The sequence below is a fragment of the Homo sapiens genome, chromosome 5 (genome assembly GCF_000001405.40).
Source record: "Homo sapiens chromosome 5, GRCh38.p14 Primary Assembly".
In the NCBI taxonomy this organism is placed as follows: Eukaryota; Metazoa; Chordata; class Mammalia; order Primates; family Hominidae; genus Homo; species Homo sapiens.
Genome location: NC_000005.10, coordinates 90617042 through 90640815, shown reverse-complemented (window position 1 = coordinate 90640815; position 23774 = coordinate 90617042). Strand labels below are relative to the sequence as shown.

The window sequence follows — 23774 nt, the reverse complement described above, 5'->3', positions numbered from 1 at the left end:
GTGGGAAGGGGAAAAAGGAGGCAGGGCACCATTTGCTAAAATCTCACTAATACTGTGAGAAACTTAGAATGGCAAGGGAAAAATAAAGCTAAAGAAAGGCTTCCTTTTTTCCCAAGAGCTAGTAATGTGCGTTTTATGGGAACTCTGCACCCTGGATTCTTTGCTATTGACAAATGCTAGCAAGAGGTTCGGCAGTTCCCACTTATGGAAGATGACCCCATGGCCAGCAAGCTTGTCAAGACCCATTCAAGACATTCCTTTCCAGGCCTCCTCCAAGGCGCCTGTGCCTGCCAAGCACTGTACAGGCTCACAAACCACAGCAGCTGAACAAATTTCATTCAGCCCTGCTTATAATTACTTAGTAGCTTTAATTAGATTTAAAAAAAAATAAAAACCTTTAGTCTCAGATCTAAAGCCAGTTGTTCTTTGAGTTAGAAAAAACAAAACTGTGTAACTAGAGAAATCTATACCTATATCATTTGCACAGGAACATACTGAAGAAGCCATATCATTGCACCTTTTAATTCTGCCAAAAATTACTTAAATACAACTTGGCATCAGGAAACCAAAACACTTTTCCAAATCCACAGTGTATTTCATTTTCAAACAGCCTTGAAAGCACATGTCAAATGTAGAGCCCTAGAGCTTCATTTTTAAAGTCAAATGCACCATTTATAAATATAGGGTTATATACCACATACACCAAAATTTTTCTGAAATAAACTGGCATAATGACATTGTTTGTGATTTGAGGAAAACTAAATAGAATATTTTTAACCAGCATGTTATTTGAAAGCACCACAAGTTTTTTAGTATCAGGGCAACTTTTGTCTATATTGAGTTGAAATATAGAGAATTTGAACTTGGATTTGACATTGAGAGGAAATTATAAACTGTTATCACAATAAACTGTTAACTATTTTCATTGCAATATTGTGATGTGATTTATTGTAATCATGCTTGCTATCATTCATTTATTCTTTCACTCAAGTTTTGTTAAAAATTTGCAAAATTAAGAGGGAGTTTTTGATAAAATACAGTATCTAAATTTTATTTAACTAAATGTTTCTGAACACTCAAATGTAATTTGCTCATTCTTGTTCACACACAAATGAGATAATACAAGTATGCACCAATTACTAGTCAAATTAAAACATTTTAATATATATTTGAACTAATTTCCTCTATTTGAAAAGAACCAATAATTTCTGAAATTTTCTACCTCATGATTTGTACTTCCTTATGTACTTTTTTTACTATGTACTATTTTTACCCATAGGGGATAGAAAAAGAAGAACAAAATAAACCCTTAAAAATTATACTTAATTTCAAATGTTTACATAAGATTTAAAAATGAATAGTTAGAAAGAATATAAAGAATAGTCACTATCAATTTGCAGATGGATAGTGTAAATCATTCTTTAAACATTTAGTTGAGAGTAGAAACTGTCAGCTAAGCTAACAAAGTTTCTACAGATTCCCACAGCATTGGTTTATCATCACTGTTTCTGTTTCTTTAGTTGTTTTCAAGATTGTCCACTGAATGCTTACACCTTACTTAAGGAAAAAAACAAAAATGAAAAAAATAATTTCCAATTTACATTTCATTACATTTTACTGATTTTTTCATCGTATGAAATACCTTTTCTTAAGATCGAGTCTGAAACATATATTAAAACCATAAGTCATCTAGACTCTGTGTGTGTGTGTGCGCGAGCGTGTGTGTGTGTGTGTGTGTGTGTGTTGTAAATTGGTTTTTGCTTTTTGGTTTTTTTGTTTGCTTGGTATTTTGGTTGTTTTGTTTTACTCTTTATGTAAGAAAGGAAGTAAACACAACGTGGTTTTGAAAGAAAGCAAAAGGAACAGTGGACATTCAATAATTTGTTGCTTACATTCTATACTTTTCTTTCACATAAAAATAAAAATCAGTTACCCATCAGATTTTTAAAAATGTGTTTAGACAAAGCATCTACAAAGAAAAATCTATAAGACACTGTTATAGAGAGATCCATGGACTATATAAAATAACTTACTACTTTAGTCCTGAATAATGTAACACAAAATGTCCCTTGAATTTATCTTGAATTTTATTGTTTCTAAATATGAATTGCACAAAGCCCTCAAGTCACAGTAACCTTCTCTAATATGAATCAACTTTCATATAAAGAGACTTGTGTTAGGGATAAGACTGATTCTGATTTTTTAGAATTATTAAATCATTAAACACAGTATTTTATATATTTAGAAAGGATTTTCTGAAAAACTGAAAAAAAAAACTCTTTGAGAGATTGTGAAGTTTTCTTAATATAAATTACCCACTGAGAAATGCTGTTGATTCTTATTATTTATTACTGAAAAAGTATCTCTTAATTTTGTGCAATTTTTGATTCTTTAGAAAATAATCATAAAATTAATGTTTAAGTTCCATGTAAAAAAGAGAATTTTATTACATGAAGATTAATGTTTTCTTTTTACTCACAAGCTCTAGTCCTCTCTTCTGTTGAACATAAAGCCAGCAGAACTGTTTGCTTAACCTAACATTTTAGATTTGCTGGTGCCTATTTTTTTTTTAATATAACAACATATTAGCTATGTTTCATATTTATCTGATACCTTCCATAAATTCTCTCTGTAGTGCTTCTTCACAATGAAAAGCAGGGTAAAAATTCACTGAAAGATATAATTATACTCATAGTCTAATCAGAAGCCATCAACAAATAACAGAAAAGTCTGAAGGCCAGTATAACACTATTTACTTGACTTTTTTTTTTACTTTATATAGAAAAAAAAGAGTAAAAAAAAAATCAAAGTTATTGAAGAGAACTCAAACATAAATGATACTAAACATTACCTAAATGGGTTATTACCTGTCTAGAGAAAGTGTTACAGTTTCATTCATTTCCGGTATGTCATCACCTTTGATAGTAATGTTGATTGTTGTGTCACTTTGCCCAGATAAAAACAAAACAGAGCCATTAAAGGGGCCTATATCATCCGGGGTCACTGCTTTTGAATTAAAGCCAGAGGGCTTCAAACTCCAGTAGACAGTAGCCTGGCCATCAGTTCCATCCCGATGTAAGGGAATGTATACCTTATAAAAAGAAAAGAACAGAACAATTTCTTCTAAAATATATGTTCAGAAATTATATAAGCTTTGGTATTGATATTAGTTTGTACATATATTACTGTGTGAACATATGTATTCTATATAGAGAAGCGAACTATTAAATGCATTAAAACACAACCAAACAATCCTTTAAGCATGGAAATCACTTTAGATATATTTTTATTAATTTTTGCTAATCAAATTTATATACAAAACTACCCTCACCCAAAAATGTGTCTAATCTGGGTTTGCCTTAATAAAAGGCAAATATTTTAAAACCCAAAGAATTGTGAAAAACATACAGCAATCTTGCTAAAGAATATATTTCCATTAGAGGTTCTCTGAAAATAAAATGAACTTACTATCACAATATAAACTGAAAAATAAACTCCGGTGATTAAAACTGGAAAATTATCTCATATAAAATACATCCTAAGTGATGGGGGTAAAATTAAAAAAAAAATTCTAACCAATAGGATAAATACCACAGAAATAAAATCAGATATTTTTATCATGACTCTGGGTTACCTTGAGCAAGTTACTTAACCTCTCTGATCCTAATTTTCTCATGTGAAATAAAGCTAATGATTCCCTATTTGGCAAGTTTGTGGTGAGGATTAGGAATTGTTTAAGTAAAGTATCTAGGACAGTGCCTCTCCACAGTATAAGCTAAATAAATGGAAGCTATTATAATAATTCTGAAACAAATTGTATTTGGAGGTTTCATTCAAGGGCAGTACACTTTAAAAAATGTATAATAAAAGGATCGCTGCATATCATGATGAAGTTTTTTTCAAAGGAGGAATATAAAGGAATATTTAATGCTAGATTACACTATTCTTTTTATGCTCCTAAAAGAGGAGTATCCTGTTTTATTTTTTCTTTGCCCTTTAAGCTCATCTTGGAAAAAAAAAAACAAGACATTTTCTCCATTAATCATTCTGCTACTTCAGCTAACAATCGTCATAACCTGAGACTAGTGAGCAAAGATTCTTATAACAGAGGGCTGGGGCCCTGAATCACCTTGAGGGAGTGGGCATCATCCAGGCTGTATCTGGAACAAACAAAGGAAAACTCCTAGTTTTTCTGCTGTTTCCCAACAGGGAAGAATGCAGGTCCAAGGAGCCCAAAACTTCCTAAAAGCTAATTTTTCTTAAGGGAAAAATATGAAACGGTAAATTTACAGCTATCTAAGATAAAAGCAATCAACTCTTTAAGAGCAAACTAAATGCTTTTCCGTTTTAAGAAGAAAAGAGTGTATTCAGAAAAATATGAAAAATCAAAACCATCTTGAAAAATGAAACTTCTCTGTCCATTTATAGAAGCTAATATACAATGGAAATTGAGGTCACCATATTTTAACATAAGGCTTTGATAACAAAAACAGCTCTCCTTCTTTCTGATCCAAACCTCAACTAGGTTTAAATCAAATTTAAGTGTGGGGGACTTGGAGAAGGTCTCAGGGATCAACTATGACTCAGGAAATGGTAAGGCTGAAGGAAGAGCCATCCCTAAGAGAAAAATTCAACCAGGGCATGTCGGGGTGGGGGCAAGGGGAGGGATGGGGTGCTGTGCATGTGAACGTTTTGTATGTCTATATGCAAAAATTTACATATATTGTATATATAAAGTAAAAAATTCTTAAGATTTAGCATTCCACAACTTTACCACTATCATCTCCATCATCAAGCATAAGGCCCAACCTGGCCACCTCACTCCAACCCAAGCATATGGAATGCTCAGAAATGAAGTAGGTCAAGCACACCTGTGGTACCATGTCTTGGCCATTAAGAAAAAAAAAAAAAAAGGTTTATAGGCCAGGCACAATGCCTCATGCCTGTAATCCCATTACTTTGGAAGGCCAAGGGAGGTGGACTACTTGAGCTCAGTAGTTGGGGACCAAACTGGACAACATGACAAAACCCCATCTTTACTAAAAATACAAAGAAAAAATAGGCAGGAGTGGTGGCACAGACCTGTAGTCCCAGCTACTCATAAGGCTGAGGTGGGAGGATCTATTGAGCCCGGGGCAGAGGTTGCACTGAGCTGAGATCACGCCACTGCACTCCAGCCTGGGCGACAGAGTAAAATCCTCTCTCAAAGAAAAAAAAAAAAAAGTTTATGTTTGGCTACCACTGTAGTATCGAATGTCATAGAACTATCTGAAAGCTGTCACATCAAAATATCCGACACTCACTGTGAGCAATTAATTCCAATTTCATTCTATCTAATACTGTAAACGATGATGGAAAAATCACATACTCATCAGTTACCTATTTCAAATGACATACTGAAGGCTTCTTGTACATGCTGAAGCTTTTTAAGATGTTAACCCTATATGCTGATCTTATTTTAAAAATAGTGTCTGTACATTACTTCATACTCATTAGCCCCCATCAGTAAGAAAGAGCCTACTTACCACTTCAGCAGCAAAATCTTCTGGTTCATGCAAAATAATTGGAAGATTGCTGAGAAAGCCAATTTCTCCATTTGCAATGGCTGGAGTAACCAGTAAAGAAATATTGCAGATTTCCCCAAATCTAGGGCTTATGGGTGGGATTAGAGGAATTATGTTTAACAACTCCACAGTTTCCAACTATAATAAACAAATACACAAAAAGTAGTAAGAATTGATAGAATATAAATTTTTTAAAAAAGCTTAACAGCATGGGGTGACAAAGTAAGCGTAGGTAGAGGTCACCAATAACTTCGCAATGTTATTCTCCTCCTCTCTCATTCACCATCCCTTTTCAATCTCCTTCCCTGGCCTCTGGAGCTCTTTCTGCCCCTCAATTGTTATTATTCCCCAAGGGTCTGCCTAAACCCTTTATCTTATAATTTTATGCCTGCTCCTTAATAATCTCTGCATCTCTCCCTCTAATTCCAAATCATTATAACTAACTGCCACAGACATCATATAAATGTCACACAAACACCTTACATATACAATATCCAAAACAGAAATCACTGTCCCTGTTCCATGCCCCTTCACTAGTATCATCAGCAGTGCCACCACCTGCTTTTCCTCCTTGCCACCTACATCCAACTACCTTGACCTTAAAGCCAAATATCAGAGAGTCATCCACATCTCCTTCCTGTCTTCCACTGACCCACACTTCCAATCATCCCCCATTTCCCTTCTCCTCCAGACAAAATCCAGTATCAGAAGACTACTCAGAACTCCATTTATAACTTCATGCATCTTTACATTTAAAGAACTGCAATGTATAACATATAGTGTCCCTGCAGTTATACATTTTACATATTGCTGGTTTCTCATCATTTGATTCATTCCAGATTTTTACTTCCCAACAGGTCTGCAGAGCTCTTGTGGGTCTGTGTCCTTTTCAGCATTTTCCCAATACATGACGTAGGCTTGACATAGACTTGAAACTGCAGCAGCTTCACAATAAATATTTGTTAATTCCTCCCTTCTACACAATCTGAGCTCTATAAGAATTCTGATAAATCACAAACATTCAACGTCTTAAATATTCTAACTTTTCAAAACCTAACTTCTCAATCAATGCACACAGTGTTCACTTCAGGAATGCAGGAATAGGTAATCGTCACAGGACTGCAAAAACCATAGGAATTTTAAATATTAAAATAAAATGCAACTTTTAACTTAATAAAACATGTCTCTGCCACTCTTTAAAGCCCTCTGTTAGGCTTTATAATATTGAAATGATGACACTAAGTAATCACCAGTAGACCTGTGATTTAAATTGATTTTCCACACGTGGACAGGACTGGTACTGATTTCTCTCCTATTTTGCGATGGATAGTACATTTTAATAGTAAAAGTAAATGTCTTTTTTAAATGTCACACATTTTGCTTTAAAAAATCATATACAGGAGAAAGACATGAATAATTTTGGTTTTGGTAAATATTCATTTGAAAAAAGAAAAAAATTAGATTGATCAATTTTGTCAAGTATTGGCATATAGATGAAGCCACATAAAATAAAACGTGATCTTTAGTATACTGCATTTACCTTACAATGTAGATAAAATGTAAAGATAAATAATTAAAGTCACATAACTGTCATTCTTTCTAGAGAAAAGGAATATATATATATACACATATATATTTATTTATCTTACAAAATAGCACAAAGTTAAATAAAATATGTATATTTGAATGGTATATAAATATAAGGGTGTGCATTGTTATAAGGCAAAGATATTTCTAAAATACACTGGTCATGTATGACCAAGCACACATTCGTGAATGAACATTGTCATTGCTGTATATTCAAAAAGAGCTAAACTGATAATACTGTGTTAAGCATCAAGAAAAAAACAATAATTTTTACACAAAACTTTCTAAAAAGAAAGAAATATATAAGTCATATTTCCCTACACTTATCAAAAAAGTTATAGAATTAATCCTAGATATAGGATTTTTGACAAATAGAAAGAAAATGTAGATGGTTATGAAATGAACTGATGGAAAAGAAAATGTTAATTGTACAGGGCTTATTTCCTAGCCTATAAGCCTTTTTTTGTCTGTCTGGGTTCCATCTGCTAAATCAAACTGCTCTATTCATTCATAAAGAATCATTCTTTATTTCAGATAGTTTGCCACTGGGACAGCACATTAGTAACCCCATGCTTGCCAAAAGCTGCATCTCAGACTAACGTATTTAGCTGAGAGGGTTACTAAAGAATGAGGAGCGACTAAAGAATTCTGCTTTCTTTAGTTTCATTCAACTTTGCATGCAGAGGCTGAGGCTTCCTATTCTTGAGTTGCTCATCCATTATGTACTATGCAAACTACACAGCCCTCTTATTCCAACTAGCCTTCCAGAACCTACAGCTGTTTTGAACCTCAATGACTTGTGTCAGTGACTAATAATGCCTTGTTCACCCTAAGCAAGTGATAAATTAACTGCACTGTAAGACCTTTGGTTTTAACTATATAGATACATAAAGAATTGAGTCTGAAATTAGTGGTGCAACTTTCTAACCCAGGATCACCAAAAATCAGATATTAATTACATCCTTCTTCAACTTTTTTCTTAGCTTTCAAGTGTCATCAAAAATTAATTGTCATGTTTATATAGAATGCTGAAGCAGAGTAGCTAAGATAATATCTGACTTGTACAAAGTTCCTAATAAGGATGTATTTATACAAGAATTCTCTGCAGTTACTTGGATAGAAATATTGGACTTTTTCAAAAGATTAAAAGTTTAACATAGAGGATACTGATATTGGTACAGATTTTTTTATATATTAGCACAGTTTTTACTGTCCTTATCCACAGTAAAAACTAGTTTTGAGGCATTATGAGAAAAGACATTAGAAAGCTCAAATGATAACAAAAACGTTCTCTGTAACTCCAAAACAACATTTCTGCATCATCAATTCTCAAACTTCTATCACATCACTGCAACTACTCCACATATGCCAGAATGCCCAGGCTTCCATGAAAGCAAAAGCAACTGTGTAAAAATCTCTGTCTCATTCCACTTGTTTTAATAATCTGGTTCTTGCATGAGTTGTAGATTATGCAAGACTGGAGACAAACAGAAGGGAGAACAGTAAGACCAAAAAAATCCCAAAAAAAGCCCTTAAACATATACTTATGGGAATGTTCTGAAACCCTGAAACCTGAGGACACTGACAGCAGAGAAGACAAACAAGTGCTAATGTCAAAAAAATTCCATTAAATTCTGAAACTCAAAAAATTGAATCCCACACAGTCTTGAAACTTCAGAAATGCTACTCTAAGTGTGAACTGGTAAAATCAATATGCACTTCCATATTAATAAAATCAATTTTTAAAAGCAAACAAATTATGTCATGTTTTTGTATAAAGTCAGAGATTTTTTTGTTTGTTTTTGTTTTTAGTTTCTAAATATAGCTCTAAATGTGTTCTGGTAGCAGCATTCTAGTTGTTTTAACTTAATGCTCACAAGGGCCCAAGTCATGTGCGTGGCCATTTGCAGTATTTCACTTCACAGATCCAGACTCCCTGGCATCCACAAGCCACAGGACAAACCAGACACAATTGTGAATAGAGCCGTGTTCCCTATCTTTCCACTCCAAGAAAAATCCAAGGGTCCTCCAGAGAGTAAGTTATCCTCACAGGCAGAAGCTCGCATCACATGAAAATTTTCCCGCTTGGAGGAGACGCAAGAAAACAAAAATTAATAATAATAAAGATGAAGATCAGGATCTACTGCCATTAGTGTAGGGCTCTGGGGAAGATGGCAAATGCCTCCCTCTGTGTAGGTATATTACAAAAAGGTGTCGCGTACATACTGACAAATCCTACATCCCCGTAACAGGTCACCCACTAAGCCCCTTGGACAAGAGTCCTCGAAAAATGCCCTAACAGCACAAGTATGCCTGGAGGCTCAGCTTAAAAAAACGCGGGAGTCTTCAAAATGAAAACGGTCACCCTACCAAGTGCTGACACAGTCTTACAAAATTCAGAACACCAAGGAACAGTTGTAAAAAGCTTTCAGAGACAAAGATCGAGTTATCTAAAAGATAAATCATTTCCTTCCCTTCAAATTTCTCATCTGCAACTCTAGAAGCTTAACAACAATACCTTTCAAGTTCTGAAGAATAAATTATTTTAATCCAGAAATTTCTACCAAGCCAAACTATCAATATGAGTATAAAATTTCACATTTCAGGTGCTCAAAGACTCAAAAAGTTTACCTTACATATATACTTTCAGCACATTTGTTTGAGGGTAGATATACTACAACAAAACTACAGCATAATCCCAAAAGAGAAACGCAACAGATCAAGAAAATTCAGGAGCTCAGTAAAAAAATCCCAGACAACAGATGTGAAACAAGCACAGAAAGCAGTTAGTTTAGCTAAACTCAACATTCAACACACACAGGAAGACAGCAGCAAGATCTCAATAATATAGTGAAGATAACATACAGAAAAGGGACAATCAGAAACTCCAGAGAAAGGAATAATAAATCCATCATAAAACAAAATCAAGGCAAAATATGAAACATATTTAAATGTGGCATGATTCAAAGAAATTAGTGAAATAGAATATTTCATTTGCTATATACTTCAGTTGGCACAATGTATGGCAACATAAGATTTTAGCTCTTTCCTTGTCAGTCCATTCACACTACCTGATTCTGTATTTAATTGATTTACATAATTTAATAAGTACCCTTTATTGATTTAGAATTTTAAGTATCAAGCAATCAACACATGGAAAACAACAACAGTATCATAAATGAGTGCAGATATTTTATACTTTGGCCATAAAAATAATATTTTGGTTAACAGAAGAAATGAAATGTATAAAATGGAAGGATACGTCATGGGGACTTTACTAAACAGTTGAAGGTCCAGAGAGTCTACCTAGACAAAGAAATTGATTTTTGAGTATATTATTTAAAAGTATTTATAAAATTTTTCTTGGGCCAGGCGTGGTGGCTTACACCTGTAATCACAGCACTTTAGGAGGCTCAGGCGCATGGATCATCTGAGGTCAGGAGTTTAAGACCAGCCTGGCCAAAAATGGGAAAACCCCGTCTCTACTAAAAACACAAAAATTAGCCAGGTGTGGTGACAGGCATCTATAATCCCAGCTACTCGGGAGGCTGAGGCAGGAGAATCACTTGAACCTGGGACGTGGAGGCTGCAGTGAACTGAGATGCCGCCACTGCACTCCAGCCTGGGTGACAGAGTGAGACCCTGTCTCAAAAAAAAAGAAAAAATATATATCTCATATTGCTTTGTTTCTGAAATATTTTCCTTGCAATATTCATTATGAAAACATACTTATCCTACAAATCCTATTCCTATGTCATATTTTCCCAAATCAATTCAAAGCATGGTTAGCCTCTCTTTCTCTCGCCCTCCCCTGTAATAGTTTGTAAGTTACTCTACTATGTCATCCATGACAGTCTGACTTGCATGACTGGCATTTCACGTCTGGTGTACTTTTAATGTCACTTAATTAAAATATTAACTTTGGTAAAAATTCTTGTCTTATTTATACTTATATACCTTAGGAGCAGGCATAATCTCTCTTCCGACTACCTAAACAACTTTTAGTAACAACATATAAATGACGGCAAAATAACAAGGTCAAAATAATGTTCAGTTAATTCTTTCACACAGGTTAGTACACTTGAAGGTTAACCAAAATTACGATTATTTTAATCATACAAGTACCTGTACTAGAAAGTGAGCTCCATTTTGAAGGAATGCATCATTTCTTATTGGTAATTTTGTAGTGACTTGAGTTTTTTGCTCTGGAAAAATGAGGTCATTTCTCCTTGATATATTTAAGATGCCTTCTTTTGCTTGCAAGGGGTCCACAGCTCCAGCAGGAATGTAAAGTACAGAATAAAGCAACCTCACATCTCCTTTAGTCCCTCCTAGTCTTGTAAAACTCAAGGATAAGTATCGTTCACCTGGGCTGCTTTCAATCTTCTGGTTTTCCATAGGAAAAAATGTTATTAGGCCATAGACATCATCACTATCCTGAATGTAGAACAAAAGCTGAAGTAAAGGAATAAAATATTAAAGTACAGAATTCTCGCATCTGAGATGATCAAACTCTGTATTTTCCATGTTATTCTAATTTTAATATTTATTAATATTTTATGTCTAAAAATGATGACTTCTTATACATAATAGAGCAAAAGATGAACCAAAAACAGATTTGGAAATATTCCTAAATCACAGTTTGTGGAATTTTTTAGAGGGTAAAATATTTATTTTCAGAAGGAATACTGAGTAAGAAAACTATCATTTGCAAAGCCAGTGTTTTTCCTGTCCCTTCAAACTAAACATAAAGTTGATGTGTATGACCAAATTCTTTGGTTCTTGTACAGCACAGAAATATTAACAAGCATAAAGCATAACAAGGGTTATACCTCCGCTGGCTCGCTCACTTCTGCACCTCCTCGTATTGTATGAGGCAGAATTTGAAGTAGATAAGCTTCTGCCTCTTCTGGAAGATCATCATCAACCACAGTAAGAGGAATTGTTGCCAACATCTGCCCTTGTGCAAAATGGAGAACTCCAGAGCTCGGTCTGATATCTGCTGTTACTGGTGAGGGATCAGTGCTGTTCCGTGTCAACACCCAATTCGCAGAGACATTCCCATGGGTTCCTCCATTTCTAACCACTGTGATTTCTTCATATCTTAAATGTTTTAAAAGAAATACATATTGTCACATAGTACACTTTATTTCCCTTAGATAAGCTTTCCCAATGTCAAGTTGTCCATTAGACACTGATAAAAACAGAATCTATACAACAAAAAAATAACTGATTTGTTATTTTTGTTTGTTTGAGACTGGGTCACACTCTGTTGCCCAAGCTGAAGTGCAGTGGTGTGATCAGAGCTCACTACAACTTCAACTTCATGGACTCAGGCAATCCTCCTGCATTAGCCTCCCAAGTATCTGGGACTTCAGGTGGACACCACCACACTCAGCTAATCTTTTTATTTTATTTTATTTTATTTTATTTTATTTTATTTTGTGGGCGGGGTCTCACTTTGTTGCCCAGGCTGGTCTTGAACACCTAGACTCAGAAAATCCTCCCCCAAGCCTGCCAAAGTGCTGGGATTACAGGTGTGAGTCACCATGCCTGGCGGAAAAAAGTATTTTTAATATGAAGGTGTAGATATGTGAATGTGTCCTAGGGAACTACTATACTATGAATCATTTGCATAATTAAATCACACTCCAAATAAGAAAGAAAACAGTGAAGCCATGGTAGAAAAAATGACATATTCTTGTGTGTGTGTGTGTGTGTGTGTGTGTGTGTGTGTGTGTGTGTGTCTTTTCTGAGTTTGTCATGAAACTTTGTGGGAAAAAATGACACATATTCTAACAGTTCATTGTTGTGTCCAACACCACAAAACTTAAATCTGGAATAATATAATAAAATAATGGTAGCAATATATTTAAAATAAATCATACCTTGATATTCTATCTTCATCAATTATAACTGTCCTTTCAAACAAAACACTGTTGAATGAAAGGACTCCATAAGGTTTATCATTTGGCTTAATGGTGACTTGTACAACAGAAGGGCTTATTAGCACAGCATCTCCCTGTAAGGTATCTTTTAGTAACATAATGTGAAACGATTCAGCAATCTCCGGTATGGTGTCATCAACTATTTGAAATTTCAAGTGAGATTCATGAATAAAAGGTGGAAAAACAACAGTTGTGTTTGGCTGAAGATCAATGAAGTCCAGATTTTGCTGGGCATGTGCTGTGGAATTCCCAGTTGTGACAGCATAACTGATTGAAACCTCATATTCATCAGATCCAATCAGATTTCCATTGTTGTCCTTTCCACGAACTACTGGAATTATGAGTATGTGGTCTTCCTCAGGAACCAAATAAATACTCTGAAGGAATCTCACGGGACTATCATTTTTCTTAATGATGATCTCAATGGAATTCCTAGAGGTGTTAATCTCAGCTCCTCCTTCTACACTTTTCAGTTGAATTAAAAATATTTCATCATTTTCTGGTACCTGTTAAAGGAATATAAACAGAGGCAAAACATCAACAGCCAAAACACCTGCAAATAAACTAAAGTGTAACAAGTCATTATGTTTCAATACAATTACATAGAAATAAAAATTCTTTAACTGAGGGAGCAAATAGAAAGGCTTGTTTAGTCTCCAATTAATAAAATATTTTCCACAGGTAAATAATGTATTTTACACAGGAAAAGAAAACGTAAGGAAGCAATAGTACAAGTAATGAAGTCCAGGTATAATGTCTTTCAGCCTTAACTGGTCCTTAGATAACTCCAAAGATTAAACAGTAAAAAACTGTCATACATTTCTATCAGTTTTATCAGTTTGATATGCTTAGAAGTAGTACTGAAAGTCTAATAATACCTAAGAATCTGGAAAGTACGTTAAACATTACATAAAAATTGTTAGTTTTCCTTGTGAATTATTCTTGCTTTTCTCCAAATGGTTGTTAATTCAGGAGTTAAACACGTGACACCAATATATGCTTTTCAAGATACACATCATGCCTCTCTGGAGAAAAAGCTGTAAGAGTCACTACTAGGAAAAATGCTGACACTGTTAAAGTGCAATTTTTGCTTTTCATTTTTTTCTTTCTTTTTTTTTTCCTTTTATTTATGCTGCTGCAGAGAAATCTTGGGGTTAATCTCCACTGTGCTGTGTGAGCTTTTCATTCACCATAAACTCTATTTTAGAAATAAAAGTGAAAAAAATGCATGCTTTTACCTCCATCAGCAGCAATATAAAAAGCAAAGCTATTTATCTTAAAAATAAAATGTTATGATTCGATTGATCTTTCAAATTTACAATCAAAATGTATAATTAATCATCTCCCCAAATTATAGCCCGTTCAATGCTCTGAGATCTTAAAACAAAAAGGTTTTTTTGCTTGCTTCCAGAACCAGAGGAACTGGAGATATCAATGCTTCCAAATATTTCATTTTTTTTCAAGAGAAAAATTCTTTTCTAATAATGTCTTCTAATACTCTAATACATTTTTTCCCTTCTCTTGAGTTTTCTTGTGATTTAGTTTCAGAATTTTTGTAGGAGGGTAGAGGGAGGGTTACAAATTGCCAGCTATTTTCTTTTTGTTTTCTTTTCTGGCAAAACTTAGTTTCTTTTATAAAAAGTCATGTTTTCTCTCGTTTAGCTCATGTGGGGGACATCCTTGCACATTATTGTTCAGATTCATTCTTAGCAATTAAGCTAGGTGTATCATGTATCTCTATCCTTGCTAGTTCCAATGTGAAATATAAAAATAATAAAAATCTTCCCATAAATGTGAACATTAAAAATATCCAAACAAGCCGGGTGCGGTGGCTCATGCCTGTAATCCCAGCACTTTGGGAGGCCGAGGCTGGTGGATCACGAGGTCAGGAGATCGAGACCATCCTGGCTAACACGGTGAAACCCCGTCTCTATTAAAAATACAAAAAATTAGCCGGGCATGGTGGCAGGCACCTGTAGTCCCAGCTACTCGGGAGGCTGAGGCAGGAGAATGGCGTGAACCCTGGAGGCGGAGCTTGCAGTGAGCCGAGATCGCGCCACTGCACTCCAGCCTGGGCAACAGAGCGAGACTCCTTCTAAACAACAACAAAAAAATAAAAACAAAAGAATACCAACTGCAGTAGAATTTTTCTTTGCTTTTATGGTAAAATATTTATTCTAGGTTAGTATTGTTCTTGCTCAAAATTGAAAGCACTAACAAAAATTGATTACCAGGGTATACAAAATGCTTAAATATTTGTATGATGTATGGTTGCCAGTTATATTCAGATTCATCAGCTTTTAGATGTGTAATTTAATGTGAATTAAGTAAGATAAATAGTAATAAGATGTATTCCAGAACAGTCAGCTATTTATAGCTGAGGTGCGACTGGCCACAATACACTAAGTTTATACAGGACTGTGTCCTGCAACACAGAATCCTTGTCCCATTTGGGTATGTAACATTAGCCAACCTCGTCATCGAGTACTGTCAAGTTATAAATTACTGTTGCTCTGCCAGGGGGAAAGGTGATATTTCCTTTAACTGGACTCAAATCTTCATCAGGGGGATTTGGGCCACCCTCTACCTGCAAAGAAACACAAAATGCCATCAATAAATGCAAAATACTTCACAAGACTGAGAAAGCATCATTGTGATGTCAGCTGACAAAAATCTGAAGTTTAAAGATGTTCTGCAAGAATTACACTAACCCATACATCATTCTGCCCTTCAAATTAATAGGTCCTATAACGTAATTATAGATATTGACTATAACTGCATTAAACTACGTGGTTTCTACGAGCTGTTTTTTCTCAACCATTATGTTAAACCTGAGGGGAAAAAAAAAACTCTACAAATATTTCTTCTTGGAAGAAAGGGTATTCAAGATTAGTAAATTCCCTCAAGTAATACCAGTATTTTCCACTTCACAAGCTGGATGTGAAGATGTGAAGAATAAATAAAATCATTCATTTAAAAAAGCATTTGTTGAGTACTCTATGCTGCATCTCTTTTAGGTACTAAAGATTTAGCAGTGAACACAGCAAATTCCCCTCCATATAGTCCTGACATTTAAAGGAAGGGAATAAATGATAAATAAATGAATGGGTATGCGTTAGATGATAATAAGTATCATAGAGAAAAAATTAAGAATAGCATGAGAGAGATCAAGTGCCAGGGAGGGGTGCTATACGTATGCAGTAATAATCAATATAAAGCACTTACAACAGTATATGGCAATATTAAGCACTCCAAAAATGTTACTTATAATTATTTAAACAAAAAACAGGCTACAAACCTGATAAAATAACTTTAGACATCCATAGATAAGTTGAAAACACTCTACTCTGGATGATTTATCCTTTCTACAGCCAATTATTTTCTAATTTTTCCAATATTTATCAGAAAAATTTTCAAAAATTTATTGTCTAAATGCATATTCCTAAGTACCTGAAAAACTGTGTAATGCTTCCAGTGTAAAACTTGCAAGACTACTGCATATTTAGTTAGTGTTTACTGTGTTTTTCATGCATTATTGTCTTCTGCTATTCTATGTTCTGTGTAGTTAACATAACTACCATATGATGTGGACACCCACAAGCATGAACAGAACTCTTCTATGCTACCATAGAATTGTGTTAAATAAATATGCTTCCATTTTATTGATATTACAATTAATAATTAGGAAAGAAACTGGTATCTGAAATTGCTAATACTCTAATGTTTGAAAATAGTATATAATCATGTTGTGGATCCTAAAAAACACAAAAATTAGTTGAAGATTTAAATGTGTATCTCATAGAACAGCAATGTGGTGACACAATGATTGGCACATGGTCAGTAAGCAATCAAATAAAATGATTAGAGCTAGCCCCTGAAAAATACACCTCACCTACAGCTTATCATATTCATGCCACATCCTGTAACATTTATGGATTCCCATGGTGGAGTGCAATGGCTACAAACACCATCCATTTGGTGTACTGAAAAAAATGGGGGGCAGGGGGAAGGCATGGTGGGTCATGACTGTAATCCCAGCTCTTTGGGAGGCTGAAGAGGGAGGATCATTTGTGCTCAGGAGTTCAAAACCAGCCTGGGCAACATAATGCGACTTCATCTCTACAAAAAACATTAAAACTTAGCTGGGCATGGTGATGCACACCTGTACTCCCAGCTATTCAGAATGCTGATACAGGAGGACTGCATGAGCCCAGGAGGTTGAGGCTGCAGTGAGCCATGATAGTGCCACTGTACTCCAGCCTGGGCATCAGAGTAAGATCCTGTCTCAAAAAAAATAAAATAAAATAAAATAGAGAAAGACAACATATTAAATAATTTTATGTAAACCTAAGTAATCCATGGGTATTTTAAAATTTCCTGTCTTTGAAAACATTTATCATAAAAGTTCCATGAATTTTATAGAATTAACATTATTATTCTATCCTATGATTTATTTTTCCCACATATCTAAAATGTTACTTGTATTTCATGTAAGCATTGTATACACAAGCAGCAAGGAAAACATTTTTATATTAATCATGAAATGTATCAGATCAGAAAAGTATTCATCTTTATTTTAATTGTATTGTGTCATGTTTATTATACAAGGAACTTTGATTTTCAAAATTGCAGCCATCTGGTATGAACCCCAGTGTTCGCATTTAAAGTGATTTCAGGGCCGGGTGCAGTGGCTCACGCCTGTAACCCCAGCACTTTGGGACGCCAAGGCGGGCGGATCACCTGAGGCCAGGAGTTCAAGACCAGCCTGGCCAACATGGTGACACCCTGTCTCTACTAAAAATACAAAAATTAGCCAGGCATGGTGGCACATGCCTGCAATCCTAGCTACTCGGGACTCTGAGGCAGGAGAATCACTTGAACCTGGGAGGCAGAGGTTGCATTGAGCTGAGATCGCACCACTGCACTCCAGCTTGGGCAACAGAGCAAGACTGTCTCAAAAATAAATAAATAAAAATAAAAATAAATAAAATAAAATGACTTCAGAGTAAACTTACCTCAAAAGTCACCATGACCATTCCATAGGTTCCCTTTTCCCTGATGAGAGTAAGAGGCATAGACTCATTTCTGCCCTTGGGCTCACTCACTGCGATTGAGGGAAGCTATTGAGGAAAGCAAGCACAGATGATCAGGAGCTGAGCAATCAGAGGTATGAGGCGGTAAAAACTATTACCTCAGAAACGCTCAATTTCCACAGACACATCAATCCACACTGTACGATAAGAATGTGATATTTCCTAGCATCAATGAACTATAGCTTTAAAATGCTGAAAAAGTTAAAAAGAATAGTGTAAAGGGAACATAAAAACTAGTCAGGCAAAAGATGTGGTTTCTTGTCCTGGTTCTACCATCAACTAGCTGTTCTGCTGAGGAATTTAAAGGTTTTTTAGTTGAAAGGTGACAAACTCAAATGCTCACAGGGGCCCAGGAGGTCACAAACATGAATTAAGCCTCCAGACCAAGGCAGCAGGTCACTGGGACCACCACTTGGCCTTGTCCACAACCACTCTTTCTCCACATCAGCCAGCTTGTCAGTGAAAAGCAGACACTGCTAATAACTTTCAGGACAGGATCTCTGCAGGAGGTGAAAGCAAAGACTTCAAAAGAAATATGCTGGTTCAGCTGGTGGAAACTCAGGGTAGAAGAGGAGGAACACGGACACAGCCAAGTACATACAGGCTACAGAAGCAGCTGCCAGCTCTCAGGGTGACAGCAAAACTCAGTAGCCCCATACATAACTGGGGTTAGCAATGTCCGTCTTGAAGGGTTGTGATGAGGTTTCAATGCGATAGTTCACATCAAGTGCTTATCCTAGTACCTGACATATACTGAGGGCACAGTAAATGTTGCTATTATTATCATCATCATCAATGTCATCTTCACTACCAACATAATCATCCTCAGGGCTGAAAAGCAAAGCCAGCCTATTGAGCACCACCGTGAGCTCAATGGTTATTTAGTTTAATTTTAAGGATGTCAGAGGCTGCCTGGCAGCACTGAGACCCCCACCAGTCAGGGACCTAGGACCCATGACAGAAACTAGGATTCATTCCCATAGGCTAAGATATATAATGTCAACAACAACAAAAGAAACCTTTAAACAAATCAGTATGAGGTCGGAGGTGATACACAGAGAGTAAGTGTAGCAGGAAAGCCACATGGAGAGAAATTTAGCAATTAAGGGAGCCTGCTTCATCATTAACAATTCTTTATCATTCAATTCCTTATCATTCAAATAAAAGAGATGGTTGATTAATTAACTTAATGTCTGTAAATGACAGTATAATGGAGGTTACCGAATTTCTACTAAACTGAGGTTGGCCAAATACCCTTTTTAACAAAGATACTGCACTATAAAGATCATATTTACTTATAGCCCACTTCTTTCAAAGATAAGTTAAGGTACCAAGAAAATGACATACAATACAACCAATTGTAGTAGCAATCTAAAAATAAATGAAAAGCTGGGAAGTATTGCAACGTGTTTTATTAATTATAATTAGTAATGTGATTCAAGGAGACTCCGAGTCAGGAATGTTACTGGAGTCTAAAATTTAGCGACCAGATTCAGTTGTATTGGAGATAAACTTGGTTTTAGGAGCTGGAAACAATTTATCTCAAGAAGGGCCCTATTTTGTGTATTTGTTTCTAAAGATAAAACTCTCTGATCACAGGATTGGCCAGAGCCACAGGAATTCAGTTAAGGAACAGAAAATACACTATTGAGCAAAGGTGAGTGAAATGAAAGGAAGTTTCAATCTTCAGAAAATATTAATTAATGGGAAAACCTAAGAGTTGGGATGACTACAGAATTTTGAAGAGATGTAATACCTGCTATTCAATTTAAGTTCATAGTAAGTTTTTTGAAAGTAACTGGCTAGCCATATATGGAAAGCTGAAACTGGATCCCTTCCTTACACCTTATACAAAAATTAATTCAAGATAGATTAAAGACTTACCTGTTAGACCTAAAACCATAAAAACCCTAGAAGAAAACCTAGGCAATACCATTCAGGACATAGGCATGGGCAAGGACTTCATGTCTAAAACACCAAAAGCAATGGCAACAAAAGACAAAATTGACAAATGGGATCTAATTAAACTAAAGAGCTTCTGCACAGCAAAAGAAACTACCATCAGAGTGAACAGGCAACCTACAGAATGGGAGAAAAGTTTTGCAATCTACTCATCTGACAAAGGGCTAATATCCAGAATCTACAATGAACTCAAACAAATTTACAAGAAAAAAAATACTCCATCAAAAAGTGGGCAAAGGATATGAACAGACACTTCTCAAAAGGAGACATTTATGCAGCCAAAAAACACATGAAGAAATGCTCATCATCACTGGCCATCAGAGAAATGCAAATCAAAACCACAATGAGACACCATCTCACACCAGTTAGAATGGCAATCATTAAAAAGTCAAGAAACAACAGGTGCTGGAGAGGATGTGGAGAAATAGGAACACTTTTACACTGTTGGTGGGACTGTAAACTAGTTCAACCATTGTGGAAGTCAGTGTGGCGATTCCTCAGAGATCTAGAACTAGAAATATCATTTGACCCAGCCATCCCATTACTGGGTATATACCCAAAGGATTATAAATCATGCTGCTATAAAGACACATGCACACGTATTTTTATTGCGGCACTATTCACAATAGCAAAGACTTGGAACCAACCCAAATGTCCAACAATGATAGACTGGATTAAGAAAATGTGGCACAATACACCATGGAATACTATGCAGCCATAAAAAATGATGAGTTCATGTCCTTTGTAGGGACATGGATGAAGCTGGAAACCATCATTCTCAGCAAACTATCGCAAGGACAAAAAACCAAACACCGCATGTTCTCACTCATAGGTGGGAATTGAACAATGAGAACACATGGACACAGGAAGGGGAACATCACACACCGGCGTCTGTTGTGGGGTAGGGGGAGGGGGGAGGGATAGCATTAGGAGATATACCTAATGCTAAATGACGAGTTAATGGGTGCAGCACACCAGCATGGCATATGTATACATATGTAACAAACCTGCACGTTGTGCACATGTACCCTAAAACTTAAAGTATAATAATAATAATTAAAAAAAAAGAAAAGTATTCTTTCAATATGCTTTCTCATCTCCCATTAACTCCAAACTTTCAGAAGAGTCTGACAAACAAACAACACTTTCTTTAGGTGACATTTGGGGAAATCAGGAAAAGGCAATGGGTGGTATATCTGAGTTAAAGACAGAAGAGTTAACAAAGGAGTCAGGTGGAACAATCAGCAGAAAGAGATTAGGACAAAAGATGACCACGATCATACAAGCGTCCTCAATTCACAAACATCTTAGGTAGAACAAATGAATGGTCTACAGAATGTGAAACAGGGACAAAGTTAAAGCAAATTTTATTTAAATATCAAAACACAGCATGATACTAGCTAACATCATGAAAACTAATTTTTAAAATTTAATAAACTATTATCTAGCAACCACAATTATCATCAAATTGTGTCCATACCATATTAAATGAAATAATTCCAAATGCATTGTCATTTGATAATATTGTCACAGTAACAGTCCTTGGCCATCCAAGCTTCACATTTGCTGAAGGTTTCTAAAATAAAATCCCAAAAATAAAATAATGAATTAAAAATAAAATAATAAGTTAAAAATTTATTTTTGTAGAATTTGTCTTCAAGTAGTTATTCAGAATATAATAAAAATACATATGTAATCTTAATGCACAGATTAAGTAAACATTCTAATTACATCAATATGGTTAAGAAGTTCCAAATGAAAAATTTTCAAAAAAGTTTTGAAAACCATTAGTCACTGACTCTTAATAATATATGATAGTATAATTATAAATAATCACTGGCTAATAATACTATATTATAAATTAGTTATAATTACTATGTTATCACTAATATAACAGAATTAAGTACACAGTACAAAATTCTATTCAATGTAATTTTTCCTATGCTATTGAAGGTACTGGAACTTTAGAATTAGTTATTCTATGAATCACAGAACCAAACTGAAGATAAAACATTAAAACTGTTTATAAAATGGAGAGTTTTCTGTAACATTTGTACTGATATTCAACAGCAGCACAAAAGTATATTTTTTAAAGAATGATTTAAAAGAGCAAAACATAACTGTTTCAAGTGTAATTTTCACAAACATTTTAATGGTAGTGACACAATTATTCAAAAAAAAATTCTTAATGTTCTTTAGAAAAAACAACCAGAATGGTGTTAGCGAGTCATTGCCTCAACCTAATAAACCAAGCCATAAAGTTCAATTAAACCTAAGGCTATTCAGGTTTTTCTCCCAGCGGTACTCTGAATTTAAGTCACAGGGACCTCCCACTTCCATGCCCGCTTTTTGTATTCTTGTCCTTTGATCTCAGAAGTCACAGTCATTCTTTGTACATTTGGTAGCAGGGGAGGAATAAAAGAAAAAAAGGCCAAAGGGAAGGCAAAGTTTTCTGGAGCAACTGTCATGGCAATTCCCGAGTAAGCTGAATGGATCCAAAAACTACCTGCAGAGTTTCTGAACAAGATCAAGGAATAACCAGATTGTGGAAGCGCTGAAGAGGTTGTCAGTTCTGGATTCTATGAATACCACCACCAGTTATCTGAATTGGCTCATCTCTAGATAGATAGATTGTTAAGCACTAAAAGATTTTTATAAGTTTTATAAGTCCTCCTTATAATTTTTATAAGGAGGAAACACGGACTTACCTGTAATGTTAAGTGAAAAATAAAAGTTTCGTCAGGCTCTGGTAAGTCATCATCACATACTGCTATGTACACTGTTCTGTTTGTTTCTCCGGCAGGTATAAAAGCTGCAGCATATGTGTCAAAAAAGTCACCAGCGTCCTCTCCATACAGCTATCAAATGCAAAATATAGATCATTCTTATTTAACACAGTATTAGGACAAGTAAAACTGATGTTAATTACAGCAATCAAGAGAAAAAGCATAAATCAAGTGACATTTATGTTTATAGATAGGGTGTACAAAAACAAAAATCATAAATATTTAACAACTGAAAAAACTTATCTTCAGAAATAAACAAATGATTCCAGGCCAGGCGCAGTGGCTCACTACTGTAATCCCAGCACTTTGGGAGGCCGACACGGGCGGATCACGAGGTCAGGAGTTCAAGACCAGCCTGGCCAATATGGTGAAACCTCATCTCTAATAAAAATACAAAAATTAGCTGGGCGTGGTGGTGTGTGTCTGTAGTCCCAGCTACTTGGGAGGCTGAGGCAGGAGAATTGCTTGAACCCGGGAGGCGGAGGTTGCAGTGAGCCAAGATCGCACCACTACACTCCAGCCTGAATGACAGTGCAAGACTCTGCCTCAAAAAAAAAAAAGGAAAAAAGAAATGATTCTAAACAAAATCATTTGTTCATGCTGTGAAACGAAAACAAATATTACATAGAAAAAGAATTATATAGGAAAGCAATTATGTGAATTTTTTTCTCTGCTCTTGATTGATCTGGAGTAGACAACAGCAAACCTAACAATAAGACAAATTATAGCTAAAATTCTCAAAAAAATGTTGTATATATGCACAGCTACACAACAGAATATTATTCAGCCATCAAAAAGAATGAAATCCTTTTATTTGTAGAAACATGGATGTAA

The 23774-nt window shown here is 35.2% G+C and overlaps 1 protein-coding gene across 14 annotated transcripts in view; it reads right to left on the bottom strand.

The window, feature by feature from the left end:
- The window catches only part of ADGRV1 (adhesion G protein-coupled receptor V1), a 605641-nt gene that overhangs the window by 523622 nt on the left and 58245 nt on the right, over positions 1-23774 (bottom strand). For 13 of the 14 annotated variants that reach the window (NR_003149.2, XM_017009963.3, XM_017009969.3 and 10 more), the window contains exons 3-11: positions 22863-23012; positions 21635-21730; positions 18115-18219; positions 15573-15686; positions 13040-13605; positions 11984-12254; positions 11277-11606; positions 5526-5702; positions 2868-3091 (exon numbers count right to left, since the gene is read on the bottom strand). Coding sequence is in view for 13 of the 14 variants with exons in the window: in XM_017009963.3 (XP_016865452.1) it covers positions 2868-3091; positions 5526-5702; positions 11277-11606; positions 11984-12254; positions 13040-13605; positions 15573-15686; positions 18115-18219; positions 21635-21730; positions 22863-23012 (2033 nt within the window). In the remaining variant the exon portion in view is untranslated. The remainder of the gene's footprint in view (positions 1-2867; positions 3092-5525; positions 5703-11276; positions 11607-11983; positions 12255-13039; positions 13606-15572; positions 15687-18114; positions 18220-21634; positions 21731-22862; positions 23013-23774) is intronic. The other variant, XM_017009967.2, reaches the window with a different exon arrangement.